Source organism: Homo sapiens, chromosome 18, assembly GCF_000001405.40.
Source record: "Homo sapiens chromosome 18, GRCh38.p14 Primary Assembly".
NCBI lineage: Eukaryota > Metazoa > Chordata > Mammalia > Primates > Hominidae > Homo > Homo sapiens.
The window spans coordinates 5,142,701-5,157,812 of record NC_000018.10 but is presented as its reverse complement, the minus strand read 5'-3'; the positions used below and the strand labels follow the sequence as shown (position 1 = coordinate 5,157,812).

Below are 15,112 nucleotides of genomic sequence, written 5' to 3'. Positions count from 1 at the left end.
CTCAGGAGGATGAGGTGGGAGTTCAAGGCTGCAGTGAGCCATTATCATGCCACTGCACTCCAGCCTCGGTGACAGAGTAAGGCACCATCTTTGAAAAAAATTTAATAATTTTAAAAAAAGTTTCTAAGTCAAAATTTTTTAAGAAAATAAAGTAAGTGGTAACGAGTCATGCATACACACATGACTAGATTTTATCTTTGATGAATTGAGTACAGAGTCATAGGAAAGTCCACGTCTGCTAAGTGAGAGGACGGGTGAGGGCGTGAGGCTGCATAAAAGACAGGGACTGGTCACACATGCCCCTGAGGCCCATGGTGAGAGGTTGAGCTTTCTTTCCAAATGCAATGGGAGGCCAAGGAAGAGTTGTGTGCAGGTGCATGACAGATTGGATTTACATTTTGAAAAAGTTACTCCAGCTGCTGTTTGAGACAGTGGAGCAAATGGAAGCATAAACAAAAGTGAGGGGATACATTTATATATTTTCCATTTTGTGCAGAGAAGGAAATAATCTTTGGGTTCTGTGTCTGGACACCAGCTCCTTGCTTTCCTTCCTTATCCTGAAGACGGAAGCTGCAGCAGGAAGGTGTCATGGAAGGATCTCTGGCCCAGGGTGTGGAGCGCACAGATCTAATCCCGTGTGTGACTCCAAACAATATTCTGAGCCTCCAGTTTTCCACTTAAAAAATAAAATTGATACTTCATCTTGGTTAATCATTTCACATCTTAAAATATTTCATGATACTTAAAAATTGTAAAAAATCTTAGTTATCACATTGTTCCTGATGGTGAAAACTCGGCCTGCCTTATGCAAACCTAGTGATGTTAGACATTTAATTAATGTTTATGAGTGACTATTTAGGAGAGGCCAGAAATTGAGGATAGCTGGAGGAAGGCTTCTAGTTTCACACCATGTCCTGTCCCCTACCCCCATTACAGCCTTGAAAATTCATCATTAAGAATTAGTTTACAACATCTGCCTGCTTTTTATTGCTCCTTCTAATGCCTCCAGCCTGGTGTGAGAGCAAGAAAGACCCCCAGGCCATGGAGCTGCTTTAAAGCACAGCTATGCCTTATTTGCCCCTCAAAGTTTCTGCAGTCGGAATACACTGTCTCACATAACTCCTGCAATTTTTCAAATGTGCTGAATATGGAGGCTGTTGTGATTAACAGTATTAATCATCTAAAAGCATTACTGAATTCATAGCCTCTTCTTGTCATTGTGTCATGAAGGGATATGGGAAATATTTTGACATTACAAAGGAATCGTCTTCAAAAGGTTGGGAGCTGTTCTTTCAAGGAGAGTAGAAAGGATTTTATTTTATGGCAGAGGATAATTTTCCTCTGGTTAGCCCCCTGAGATTCTCCCTCTATACTCACTTCCTCCAGGGACTAAATATTACTTTTGAGAGATTATTTAGTTAAATTCTAGACTTGCACTTTCTGATGACTTGTCACATCTGGGAATTTGATTCCTTCTTTGGCAGAGAAATGGTGATTGTGAAGATTGCGCTGTTTATTTCAGGGAGAACAGTGGCATACGGTGGGGGTGTTTTTTTTGTTTGTTTTTGAAGATTCCTTTAAAATCACTCATAGTGCTCATATTGGTTCCCTCCCTCCTTCCTTCCCAGGAAGGGAGAGCATGTCCTCACCATGCCCGGGAACTGAGAATCTTTCGTTAAATATTTAAGAGTTCTGGTAATACGGTCCAGTAATTCTTATCTGAGTGGGGACAGGAAACCTCTGGACTCCATTTCCAGCTGCTTCGGAACTCCTGGGAGGATGAATCTATAAATGGCCTAGTAAGAGTTTTTGTTGTCAGAAAGTGCTGTGGATGTACTAGTTACTCTAAGTATGTTTGATAAAATAAAAACAGCCCTTGTCTCATGAGTCAAGGATTTTCCCTATCTTCTTACCTCCGATGTCCTGGTCCCCCAGGAGGCCACCACTAGGACATAGCAGAGGCTACGGAAGGTCCTGCAGTGGGAAAGAAAGTATGCAAGCCTCTGGCTTCCAAAATTTGCCTTGCATTCTATTAGGACCTTGGTACTGTGGCTTCCTTTAGCACATGAGATCACACAGTGTCTACTTTTGCTGCCCCTATAAATAGCAGACTCCTGCATCTGGGAGTCCTGAGTTCGGGCCAGCCTGGTGGTTTGGTGGCTCTGGATTGCTTTTCCTGAACTTTCTGTTTGTCAGCTGAAGAATGACGCGGTTCATACATTTGGAAAGGAGAGCTTGTTTCTCATAGAGGGCTACAGCCTGCAGGGCAGCCATTCTGACCGTCTGGGCAGTGCAGCCGCGGATGAGAGGCCAGAAACGGACACTTTCGGGGAGGGGCACAGGGAACAGGAATTCTGGCTGAGCAGGCCAGATATACATATTCAATAAGCTACAGGAGGAGTCATGAATATTTACGAAAAGAGAAACCTACGCATGCGCAATTGAGATTCATACCTCTCCCGGGTCCCGATTTCAAAATACAACCGAGTTAGCATGAGCCCAGAGTGGAGTTTTCAGCCCCCTGACATCAAAAGATGAAGCACAGGATGCAAAACCCTCACTGCACAGCCTGCATAGACTCACGGGAGCCACTCCATGGTCGATGGTCTCTTATCCCAAAGGAAGGCTGGCCCGTGCAGTGGCTCGCGCCTGTCATCTCAATACTTTGGGAGGCTGAGGTGGGCAGATTACTTGAGCCCAGGAGTTCGAGACTAGCCTGGGCAATGATGGGATGGGAAGTGGGACAGGTCTTGTTATACCTCCTCCTTCGCCAACCCCGTTAGGCTTTCTTCCCTAAGGGTTAAACAGAAACCAGCCCTGTGGTGTGGCAAGACACTATCTCTACAAAAAATACAAAAAATTAGCTGGGCGTGGTGGCGGGCGCCTGTAGTCCCAGCTAGTTGGGAGGCTGAGGCGGGAGAATCGCTTCCAGGAGTTTGAGGCTGCAGTGAGCCAGGCTAGCGCCGCTGAACTCCAGCCTAGATGACAGGAGGAATGCTAGTTGGTTGTTTTGTTGGAACGTAAAAGGGAGGGGCAGCATCAGTTGATTGACTGACATCAGGTGGAGTCTCTTGAGAGGGCTAGTTTCTGTTTAATCGTTAGGGAAGAAAGCCTAAAGGGGTTGGCGAGGGAGGAGATAGAACAAGGCGTGTCCCACCTCCCATCCCATCAGGGTCCAGAACTCAGTTTCCCAGGTTACTCTGGGGTCCCCTTGGCCAAGAAGGGGTCTGGTCAGTTGGTTGGGGGAGGCTTAGGATTTCATTCTTATTTCTCATTTCATAGATTTTCTAGAGTTCCTACTGACTGCAAGAAAAAAGAAACTCTTGGGAGGAGTTTGATTTCTGAGTCTCTTGGGGGTAAAAGGAGGAAAACCTACATTTCTGCTGAATTTTGCAGAAATGTATGTGGTGGTCAGAACAGCCTTTTAAGTCTCTCTGAACTCATAACACAGTCTTGGTTGTTATCTACGTGCTCAGAAAAAGGAAATATTTAAAGGATTTCCAAGACAGTATTTTCATAAGCATTCTCTGTGCCTCTACCTCCAGTGAAAAGTCTTTTTCCAAGTGTGTGTTTCCCTGGTGAAAACCAATTATTTTAATGTAGCCCAATTTGTCCAATTTTTTCTTCATGGTTGTTGCTTTTTGTGTCCCGTTTAAGAAATCTTTGTCCACTCCCAGGTCACAAAGACATTCTTCTAAAAGCTTGATTGCTTTACTTTTTATAAATTTATTTTTTAATTTTTCATAGAGATGAGGGTCTCACAATGTTACTTAGGCTGGTCTCGATCTCCCAGACACAAGTGATCCTCCCGCCCCAGCCTCCCAAAGTGCTAGGCTTCCAGGTGTGAAGCAGTTTTAAGTTCATAGCAAAACTAAGCAGAAGGTACAGAGATTTCTTATATGCCCCCTTCCCCCACACATTCACAGCCTCCCCCTTTCTACATCCCCCACAGAGTGGTTCATTTGTTACAGTTAAACCTACACTGACACATCATAATTACCCAAACTCCACAGTTCATAATAGGGTTTACTCTTGGTGTTGTACATTCTATGGGTTTAGACAAATATGCAATGACGTGTCCATCATTATAGTATCTATCATACAGAGTTGTTTCACTGTCTTGAAAATCCTCTGTGCTCCAAATTATTTTACTTTTCAGATCTAGATATGAAATCCATTTGGAAATTTTTTGTGTGCAGTATGAAGTAGTCACTTTCATTATTTTTCTGTATGAATAACTACTTGGCCAAGCCCTAAAGACTGAAAATACTGTCCTTTCCCTACTATACAACAGTGTCATGTTTTCCATAAATCAGGTGTTCCATATATCTGTGTGGTTGTTTCTGGACTCTTTAATGTACTTGTCAATTTTTGTATCCCTGTATTATTATCACACTTTCTTAATTGACATAGCTTTGTAACTGGTATTCATAGCTGGTAAATTAGATCCATCTTATTGCTTGTTTTGTTATTTTTCTTTCCTTCAAAATTAACTTTGCTTTTTCTTGGCCAAAATAACTCAATAAGCATCTTGATTCCTAGAGTAAAATTGTCTTTTCCTTTGCAAGTTTTATTGGCACCATTTTTATGGCTTCCTTAAGGAATTACAATCCAGTAATATTGTATCATTTAAATTATGTTCTAAAATAATTCAGCAGCTCTGCACATAAAAGCTTTCCATGACCCTGTTAGTCAACCAGCCGCTTGTCTGCCCTGCCCTTCAAGGCCAGGGCAAGAATTCACTTCCTTTTCCCCTTGGCCTTTCCAAAGTCCATCTGTGTTTCAAGGCCTTCTCCAAATCTTGCATATTCTTGCCTTAATTATGTAACTCTCCTCAGACTACTGAAGCTATGCTGGGTGGCACAGATATGAGGAAACATGGCTGCTTTACTATCAGAAAAAGGCTCTGATACCTCCCCAGGACCCCAGGCCCAGGCTGGCCTCCTTTCTTCAGCGCCATCGCCCGTCTCCCTCCCTGGTGGGCACTAGCCACTCAGGCTGCCTTGAGTTCCTCTCTGGCCCTGCTTTTGTTACGCAGATCAGGGACTTGCCACTCAGGGGTGGATCTTTTTGCTTGTAATGTTCTTGCCTTCCTGCTCCCAGCACCTTCCTTTTATCAGTTAATGTTCATTAATCCTTAAGTCCCCTCTCTGGACATCTTTCCCTGACACCTAAATTAGATGAGTTCCCTTTGTGGTATTGTAATCATAACAGGTTCATTGTCTGATGCAATGGCAAGTCAATACGTGGAGACACTGGGTTGCAACAGAGGAAAACAGGTTTAATGGTAGAGCTGCTGATGAGGAGATAGGAGGAAACCTCAAATCTGTCTACCCAAGGAGATTAGGGCTATGGATTTTAAGGGTGTGGAGTGGGCTGAAGTGTTTGGAGATAGTTGATTGGTCAAAGAGTGCAGGGTGAAGTCATGGGACAGGAGGATGAAGATGTTGCATTCTCATACCGATCCTGTTCCTCTGTGTGGGTTGGCATCCACTATTTTGCTAGAATTTGGGTTCTGAAAAACCTGTTAAGTGATCCTTAAACAAAAACCTCATTATTGTAATGTCAGCTATCCTGTCTGTAGGAACAACAGGATGCACTGGCAGTATCTAGTGTTGAGTGACTTTCAGCATCAAGTAAGCGGGCCAGAGCGCAGCCTGACTGATGCTTAATTAACTATATTTCTGTCCAGAGCCTGGCATTCAATTCCTGTCAACCTTGTGGGGATGGTTTCAGTATGCTCCCCATGCTCCCTTCATAGCACATGACATAGCTCCCAATTATAAACCCAGCTGATTAGCTGGTTAACATCTGACTCTTCTAGATTGTAAGCTCACATAGGGTAGGGACTATGACTGTTCTGCTCAACATTTTAGTCTACAATACCTAGCCTAGTGTTTGTCATGTAGTAAGTGCTTTGTAATTCTTTTATGAATGAATATATGTATGAGTGAAACATTTTGGCCTAGTGGCTTATGTTATTCTCCATAGTACCATACATGTAGGTCCTCCATAAATATCTTTCTGATTCATGTCATCTTGTTGTCTAGGATGTTTTAATAAAGAACTCCATATAATTTATAAGAGTAGCTGGCTACATTATGACATAATGTGACTGGCCATTGTAGGTAGAGTCAGGGGTGACTCTTAATTCCCTGTATCTGATTTGATAAGGGTGGCGGTGGTAATAGACAGTATCACTCAAATATGACTTAGAAATGTCCTATGCCTGCTGATAGCTGTCTTGCTTTCTGCATCTCAAATCTACCTAAAATGCTTCTGATTTGGTAATGGTGCACAGGGGAATAGCATGCTCAGTTGGGCTAGCAGCAAGCTGGAAGCTCAGGGGCTGTGGCTTTTCATTGCTGGGAACTCATGTAACTTTAGCTTGCTTGGTAGCAAAGCAGGGCTCCTGGGTTTGCTTTATTTGCAGTTGGTGTAGATGAGTGAGATTTAACATCTGGTCCTTCAGGGAAAATTCCTGTAGTTCCAGAGCTGAAAGAACAAAACTATCATTCTATTATTAAAGGGCCCAGAATTAGTTCTTGTTCTCTGTGTTCCATGTGCTCATCATTGATAAATGATCATACTATCTTTGCAGTCTCAAGCCATCAGAAGGGGAGATAAAATAATTCCTCCCTGTTTACCAGCAGCAGCCCTGTGTATTACAGTGTGTGTGCAGGGAGTGGTGCTGGAGTCCTGTCTTGCCCTGGGAGGGACTTCTGTAATTTGCATACTTAGTGAGTCAGTGGGGAGAGATGAGAGATAGAGATGCCATTTGTGATACAACCTCTGGTGCCCTATCTGTGCAATCTAGAAAAAAATCACTAGCCAGAGTCTGTCTCAAAATGGAACACTGACCTTTTCCAAAACCCGCCTCACTGGAATATAACAGGGCTAATGTAAAAGAAGTAAATGACACTTAGGTTCTGGGGGGAAAATTGATGTAAGTTTTTATCAGGATGGTCATCCAATGGTCATTAGAAGCACAATTTTAATACTTATACATAAGAAATTAGACCAATTATTAACCATATTGCAATTGAGTTCCTTAGACACCTTCCACTGGAGAGGCATGAATGGGATATGGGGCAGAAAGTTCTGAGGGGCGTGGTGGGGAGCTGCAGAGCTCACAGTGGTCTGTGGAAGGCCGGATCCCCATGGGGGAGCACTGGGTGATCATAGAGAAGCAGGACCATGTGGATGCCTGGGGATGAGGAGAGGCAAGTAAAAATCCGAGGTGGAAAGACACTGAAGACAAATTCAGTTACACCACGTTCTCGATTTTGGTTTATTTATATTGGGCATTTAAGAGTTTATAGCCAATTAAATCAATTCCTCATTTTTTTGTGAAACATGAAAATGATGTTGTAAATGCTAATTAGGCTAGAGGATGTTTGCATCATTTAAAGCTAGGCAACAGTCTGCCTATGACACTAAGTGATTCATTACATTGAAGTGAATTCAGTGCATAGAAATCAATGGTGAGTCTTTGAGGATTTGGGTGGCTGGCCCTGCCTTCTGTTGGTTGTAGTGTACTTCCTCACATGGTACTTGTATTATTATAAGAGACTCCATCAGGAGTTTCTCAAATATCTTGTCCTTACAAGTGAATGCCATAGGAACGCCAGGAAGTATGAGTGTGATGCCGCACAGAGACTAACCTGTGAACACCTGCTCTCCAGGATGCTTTGCCAAGGCAATGGAGCTAAGTGGTTCCTTCCTCCTAAGTAGCTGTGTTCCCACCTCTTGATCCGAACTTTTTGGCCACAGCAAATTGGGCCAGAATAAACCTTGTTATTCAACCTATTGCTGGCTTAAGAAGTGGCCTGGAGGCTAGTGTGGTGGAGTGTGCCTGTAGTCCCAGGTACTTGGGAGTCTGAGGCTGGAGGATTGCTTGAGCCCAGGAGTTTGAGACCAAGCTGGTCAACATAGTGAGACCCCATCAGAAAAAAACAAAAACAAAAACAAAAATAAAACACTGCCTGGTATAAAAGTGCTGCTTTATAAGGATAATGGTGATATATGGTGAGTCTATTAGGCTCTCTCTTTCAGGAATTTCAACTGAAGATATGGCAAAGGTCAGTCAGTTGCAAGAACATTGGCCAGGAACTTAGCTGGAATGACCTCAGAGGGAAGGAGATATGTACAGTCATGAAGCAATGCACGTCGTGAATATGCAGAAATAAGAATGAGTGAATGCATAAAGTCAGAGAGACTCTAGAAGAAGCGGAGAGGTGCTTGGTTGGTAGCAGCAGATGGAGAGACGAGGCTCGCTCATGGCAGAGGATAACCTAGGTGGTACAATAACTGGAGTATACTGGATTTTTCCAATATCTGAGTTGTAATATGAAGCTCAGCTGAACGGTTCCTGGACACTTGGCTACGACATTTGTATCTCTATTTTCATGGTCCCCTCCCCTCTGCCATAGCTTAAGGTAACGGAAGAGAATATTATTCCTCTCATACCCAAGAGCCTAACACACAAGTAGTATGTGTGCTTTGTGCAGCTTTTTATTTGGCATGTATTATCTGTTAAGTGCTCTGGGTGGCTTTTCTCCCAACCTTAATCCCTCTCTTTCTCTGCTCCAGGCTTCGCTGCTCTCTTTGTCCCACAACCTCCCCTGCAGGTATGTGTGATCCAAAACGAAGTGGTAATGAGGGCAGTGAGAGTTAACACGCATCTAGTTTGGCTAAGATACTTTTTCTAGGAGCAAGCCTAAACCTTTTGAAATTGTTGTTGTTTGTCCTTACACTTATACACTGTACAGTGGTAGACAGAGCAACCTGGGTTTCGCATTTGTCCTGCTGCAAGTATATACTGTATTCTACCTTTTCAATGTAGCCTTGGCTTTGCTTGGAAGTAATTTTTTGAACTTCTTAATGGCTTATTTGTTTTAGCATTAGAACCTTATTGAGTTTTATTTTTATTTATTTTACTTTTTTTCTTTTTTTTGTGACAGAGTCTCACTCTGTCAACCAGGCTGGAATGCAGTGGCATGATCTCAGCTTACTGCAACCTCTGCCTCCCAGGTTCAAGCGATTCTTGCACCTCAACCTCCCAAGCAGCTGGGACTACAGGTGCTCGCCACCACGCCAGACTAATCTTTTTGTGTTTTAGTAGAGATGGGGTTTCGCCATGTTGGCCAGGCTGGTCTCAAACTCCTGAGCTCAAATGATTCGCCCATGTCGGCCTCCCAGAGTGCTGGGATTACAGCTGTGAGTCACTGCACCTGGCCCCTCCTTGAATTTCAGAAAGACATATGGCTGCCCAGCCTGTGAATGTATTTCATAGCCTCCCACATAGCTAAGCGTGGCCATGTAATTAAGTTTCCCTCAATAGAATGTCAGAAGAGTGATGTTTGCAACCTTTATGACAACTCTTTAAAAAGAAATTGCTTGCCCTCCATTTTCTCTTTTGCTCTCTTTTGGTCCCACATGGGATATTGGTTAACCAGCTTCACTCAGGTAAATGAGGGCAATATTATAATAAAGGTCAGAGCAGTAAGATGTAAGGAAGTTAGAGTCCTTAGATAACCCATGCAGCAGAGCTACTTACACACTGGAGTACCTCTGAACTGTTACACGAGAGAGCAATGAATTTCTCTTGTGTGAGCTGTCCTATTTTTGAGTTTCTCAGTTACAACAGCTTAGTCTATTCCCTAACACACAATGGTGGACACTTACAAATGCTTACTATGTGTTAGGGACCACACTGACTGCTGAATATTCTTTATGTCGGTTAATTCTCCAACAACCAACCTAAATTAATGATACTTGCCCATTTTACAGATATGCAAAGAGGCTTACTGAGGTGAAGTACCTTACCCAAGATTGCATGAATGCAAGTGGCACAAAGGACTTGAAATCTCTGAAGTGATTCAAAACACATATTCTTGATAGCTATGCCTTCGTGACTCTTCATATAGAAAAATTTCTATTCTTCTTGGTCACTTCACAGCTTCAGTCTATTGCAATTCATGCCTCCAGACTCCTCTGCTCAGTTTGGTGTAGATTGATCATTTTATCCTGTTTTTTAAAATATTGTTCTTCGCTCTCAATAGGTTTATCTTGCTTTGTTCACTAGATTGCAAATCCCTCAATGGATGGATAAAAATGCTCAATAAATGAAGATCATAAGTCTTAATGGATAAGAACTGTCTGATCTTCTAGAATTACTCAGTATTATCTTTTGTGATGTTTCCTCTTAGGTGTATAAATTCTGTTGTTAATTAATCAACCCCAGTGAACGTCATCCCTCCAATCTTAAATACATCTTCATGGTAGTGAGCATATTCGTGTAGAGGAAATATCCAAAAAGATTATTTTAAATAAGAAATGATGTCCATTCTGTTTACCACTATAAATATAAATAGGTGGGATTTAGGGTTTTCCAGATTGCCCTTCAACCAAATGGTAGATTCATGATCAGTCTACCATGCATGAGTTCGTATTACATCTACTGCACAATTAAAAAAATACAAAAGAGCAGTTGCCTTAAACAAGGTATATTACTTTTTTCTAACATAAAAAGAGGCCTGGAGGTGGGCATCTGAGAACTGATATGGTGGCTTCTTGGTCATTGGATACCAAGCTCCTTCTTTTCCTTCTGAAATCCCTGAAAACAGTTTGTATTTTAATGGTTCTAATGGCTCTGGTCCTTGTAATAACTATCAGGCCAGAGTTGCAGGCAATAGGATGGGGAGAGGACAAAAGGCCTTTATCTGACTTTACCCTTCTACATCCCTTTTCCAGAATTTTTACTAAATGAACTTCCACTTCTACCACAGAACTTAGCTATGCCTAGTTACATAACTACTCAAATAAAATTAAGATTTTGTTTTTAACTAAGAAAGAAAGCAGAGAATCAGTGCTGGGTAGACTGCCTTGCCTTCTAATTAGAAAGTTCCCACCATTCCAGATTGGGGGTTGACAAACTGGCCCATGGGCCAAATCTGGCCTGTGGTCTGTTTTTTTGTAAATAAAGTTTTATTGAATGAAAGCCATATGCACTCATCCATAGCTGATTTCATGCTACAACAGCAGAGTTGAGTAGTTGTTCCAGAAGTTGTACGACCCATGAACTTAGACTGTCTCCTATCTGGTTCTTTAAAGAAAAGTTTGCCAATCCCTGCTCTAGATCACCAGGCGGGGAGGGGGGCAGGTTCTGATGAAAAAGTTTGCCAGTGCCTGCTTTAGATCACAGTGGGCAGCTTCGGATAGTTTCACTGGTTGTGATCCTATTATAGGAGCAAAGTTGACCTTGATATGGATTCAGTCATCATTTGTTCTCCAGCCCCAGCGAGGTTATATACACTAGGCATGTATTTGGCTGCAAGTAACATAAAACCTGAATAATGTTGGATTAAACAGAAAGGAAATATTTTCATCACATACATGAATGCCCAGAAGTACGTGGCCCAGGGCTGGTACAGATGTTCAGTGTTGCCTTCAAAATTAGTCTGCTTCTTTCTGCCCAGCCATGCCCAGAATGTTGGCTTTCATCTTCATGCTTACTGGAAGATGAATGCAACACCTGAAGGCGTTTAATGTCTGCATTTCCTGAAGGAAGTGGGGAAGGTGCGAAAGGGCAACGGTCTGTTCTTTTCTAGAAACTGTCTCTCTAGCAGCTGAGGATCCTAGGATTCAAACAACCATGGAAGAAAAATATTGGAAAAAACCCAATAAAAGTAATAACAGTACAGCAGTGAAAATAATACAATTTTTAAAATATAGTATAACAACTATTTACATTACATTTATATTATATTAGGTATTATAAGTAACTGCAGATGACTTTAAGTGTTTGGGAGGATGTGTGTAGATTATATGCAAACACTAGGTCATTTTCTATCAAGGACTTTGGTATCCACAGCATGTCCTGAGACCAATCCCCCAATTGTATGTGCTCTAGTGGGCTTCTCATAGTTAACTGGTCCACTCCAGTGTGTTCTTACAGTCTCACTCTTCCCTCCCATCTTTCTCCTCTACCTTTCCCTCTCACATTCCTGAAATTAATTTCTCTCCTTTTCCCCTCCTTTTCATGTTTTTGGCTAGGTGAGAAACCTGGAAATGAGCCTGAAGAGGTGAAGCTGCAGAATGCCAGCAAACAGATTGTGCAGAATGCAATCCTGCAAGCTGTGCAGCAAGTCTCCCAGGAGAGTCAGCGCAGAGAAGAGAGAATCAGTGACAACCGGGACCACATCCAACTGGGCGTTGGGGAGTTAACCAAGAAGCACGAAAAGAAGTAACATGGTGGATTTGGCTCTTGACATGTGCTTGGTTTCTAGCCTTCCTCTTAGTATAGGACGCATCTCCAAAATGTTGCCAGTAAAGCAAACCGAAGTGTCACCGGCACCTAGCTGTAGAATGAATTCACACTAGCCCCTGGCTGAGAAGCACTGTTTTGAAAAAGTGCATTAGACGATTCTGTTCATATTTATGCAGTGCCTCTGAGACATAGTGGGGCCAAATATGACACTGTAATTGCAAAAGTAGTTTTGCAGGCCAATTTATTTTTAAAGTTCTTTTATTTGAAAAAAAGAATTCTATGTCTCGTTTATTTACTTCTGCCTTTTATGCGTTCCTTCTGTGAATTTAACAAGCAGCCTTTTTGCTGAAATACTGAATACAGTACTGAGTTCTTTATGGTATATTAAAAAGACATGCTAGAAAGGTGAGGGAATGCAGTTTTAGTTACCTTCAAATGTGAAATTGAAGGCTTTAAGTGGGTTCAGGTCTAAGATCAAATTAAGAAAAGGGAAATTCTAAGGCTGAGTCCCTCGGGACCATACCAAGGCATTTACTAATATTTATGTTATTTTAAGAAAGGGAGGAGTTTAAGTTTCTCAAGAACTCAGTCTTTTAGTCTCAATTCTCTGAATGATTTCATAATTGGTGTTTATGCTCTGTGTAGAAATCTTTTGGGAATATTATGGATTTCTTTTCTCAAGATTAAATAAAATAAGACAAGTGAGTCTACACATGTGAGTTGCCAATGACTCATTTCCTTAGCAGCCTCATGGAGAATGGCTAGAAGTGTAGATTTCTTCAACAGCTGCCTATCATTAAGAGACTTACACTTGGGGCTGATTATGGGGTGCAACATCCTTGGAAGGGATTCTGGGGTCCTTAACGAATGCTGTTTTGCCACTAGGCTATGCATTTGCATTAGGACCTTACTAACTTTTCCCATTCACACATTAAATTTTTTTTTTGAGATTATGAAAATCATACAGGTCAGGAATACATGAGAACACAATGGGGACAGTAAAGTGACAGTGTTTTGAATGCAGTGACAGAGATATGTGTGTGTACACGTGTAATAAAGTTATCTGTGCAGCAACAGGATCAATCCCTGCTCCACTTCTGTGAGGATAATGCACATATTTCTGGAGTATCTACAGTCCCATTTCCTGGGCTTCACAAAAGTTATTGAATTGGTGCTATTGGGGACAGAGGAAGAATTTGACCTTGGTTAAAAACCTTCTAGTTTCAGAGTATCAATATCTACATTTGATTTTTTTTTAAAGCAAAGTATTCGGGTATAAATTGTGACTGATATTAAGATATACTTCTAAAATTCCAATATGCTACAGTTTCTAGAATAAATAGTTGGATAATAGATAATGAATGAAAAATATCTTACCAGCTTTGTTATGCTATCTCCCACAGTGCACAGGTGGAATAAATTCACAGGAAACATGGAAGGAGAAGGAAGCAGAAGGGCTTAAAATTTAAAGATTGTTTACTCACAAGTATTTCTTTTAGCAGAATTCATGCCAAGTGAAGAGTGAGTTTAAGTCGACCAAAAGTCATATAACTGATGTGATATAATTGCATAGCATACATAGTGAGAATGAAGGTATTCAGGGAAATTATTCAGGAGTGCCACAAATAAAATAAATAAATAAATCTAATGCTTGTAGTTTGTAAGTGATCTGGTACTATGTCTACTCAGATATCTGGATATGACCAGCCTTTGTTTTTGCTGTCAAGTGACAGAAACATATAAACATACTATTTTTCCTCTCTGATGTGTCTGTACTAAAAAATTGGGAATTTTTGGAACATCTTATTGACCTCTGTGTCTAAATGTTATTTATAAATAAAACACATACAGCTTTGAAATATCTTAAGCAAAGTTTTCTAGACTCTGCCGTTTGGCTCATTTTGTACGTGGATCTTACCATTATTTGGAACCATGAGACTTCCAAGGCTATTTTCAAACCCCTAGATATCATGACCAGGGGAAGTGCTTCCTTAATGGGCCCTTCACTGTGACTGTGTGAGGACAGCCATGGGATGGTGGGTCCTGAGGCTTGAAGAGAAAAGGATGTATGCTAAGAAGTGGTCTTTTGATCTAAAAAATTCAAGGTAAGTGGGTCTGGAAGGTAGAGTGTCTGCCATAATTTTTGAGATGGAAAATCGACAGCAAGGAACAGAGATATGACTAAGTTGTTGGGAGGACAAAAGGAGGTTCAGCAATGCCTGTCCTCAATAGGTAGGTGCCATATTGGCAAAATTCTAAGAAAGCTCAGTCATAAAAACAAACGAGTTAAAGACCTATAAACTTTTACAGATCTTTCAGTATGAAGAAAAAGTTACTAGATTTTACAAGGGGCCTACAGAACTTCATTTGACATAGGATTAAGGTGGATTTCCACTTGATTATCATCATAAACCAGATCACAGCTTTTAGTTTCAGAAATGAGTGGGAACATTTACTTAGTGTCCTTTATCTTTCTGATTTACTGCATACACAGGCTTCCCATCTCTGTGTGTTCAGCTGTTCGTCTTCTCTGTTGCCTGCCCCTAGGGTGGATCTAAAGAAAGAAATCCTTTCATGTTACTTTTCTCTGCTGTAATCATCTGTTCAGTGCAAACAGTATTGTAAATTGATGCAAAATGACTAACTCGTTCCCTTCATTTCTTTTCTTATTTATTTTTTAGCCGTTTAGGTTTCCTTTATGGTGGAATTTCAGGTTACAAAGAAATGAATCTATCATTTAAAAATAATCATTGAATTTATGCCATTCAAAGATGAGTAACTGGCCATCTTCCAGGCTGTTTTAAGGTTTCTATGATAAAACAATACAAAAGAGAGGGATCT

The 15,112-nt window shown here is 41.3% G+C and overlaps 1 protein-coding gene across 2 annotated transcripts in view; it reads left to right on the top strand.

Annotated features, from left to right (window-relative positions):
* The window catches only part of AKAIN1 (A-kinase anchor inhibitor 1), a 54,781-nt gene extending 39,879 nt beyond the window's left edge, over positions 1-14,902 (top strand). For both annotated transcript variants that reach the window (NM_001330553.2, NM_001145194.2), the window contains exon 2: positions 12,058-14,902. In NM_001330553.2, coding sequence (NP_001317482.1) covers positions 12,058-12,251 — 194 coding nt within the window. In that variant the 3' untranslated portion in view covers positions 12,252-14,902. The remainder of the gene's footprint in view (positions 1-12,057) is intronic.
* Positions 14,903-15,112: the final 210 nt, after the last annotated feature.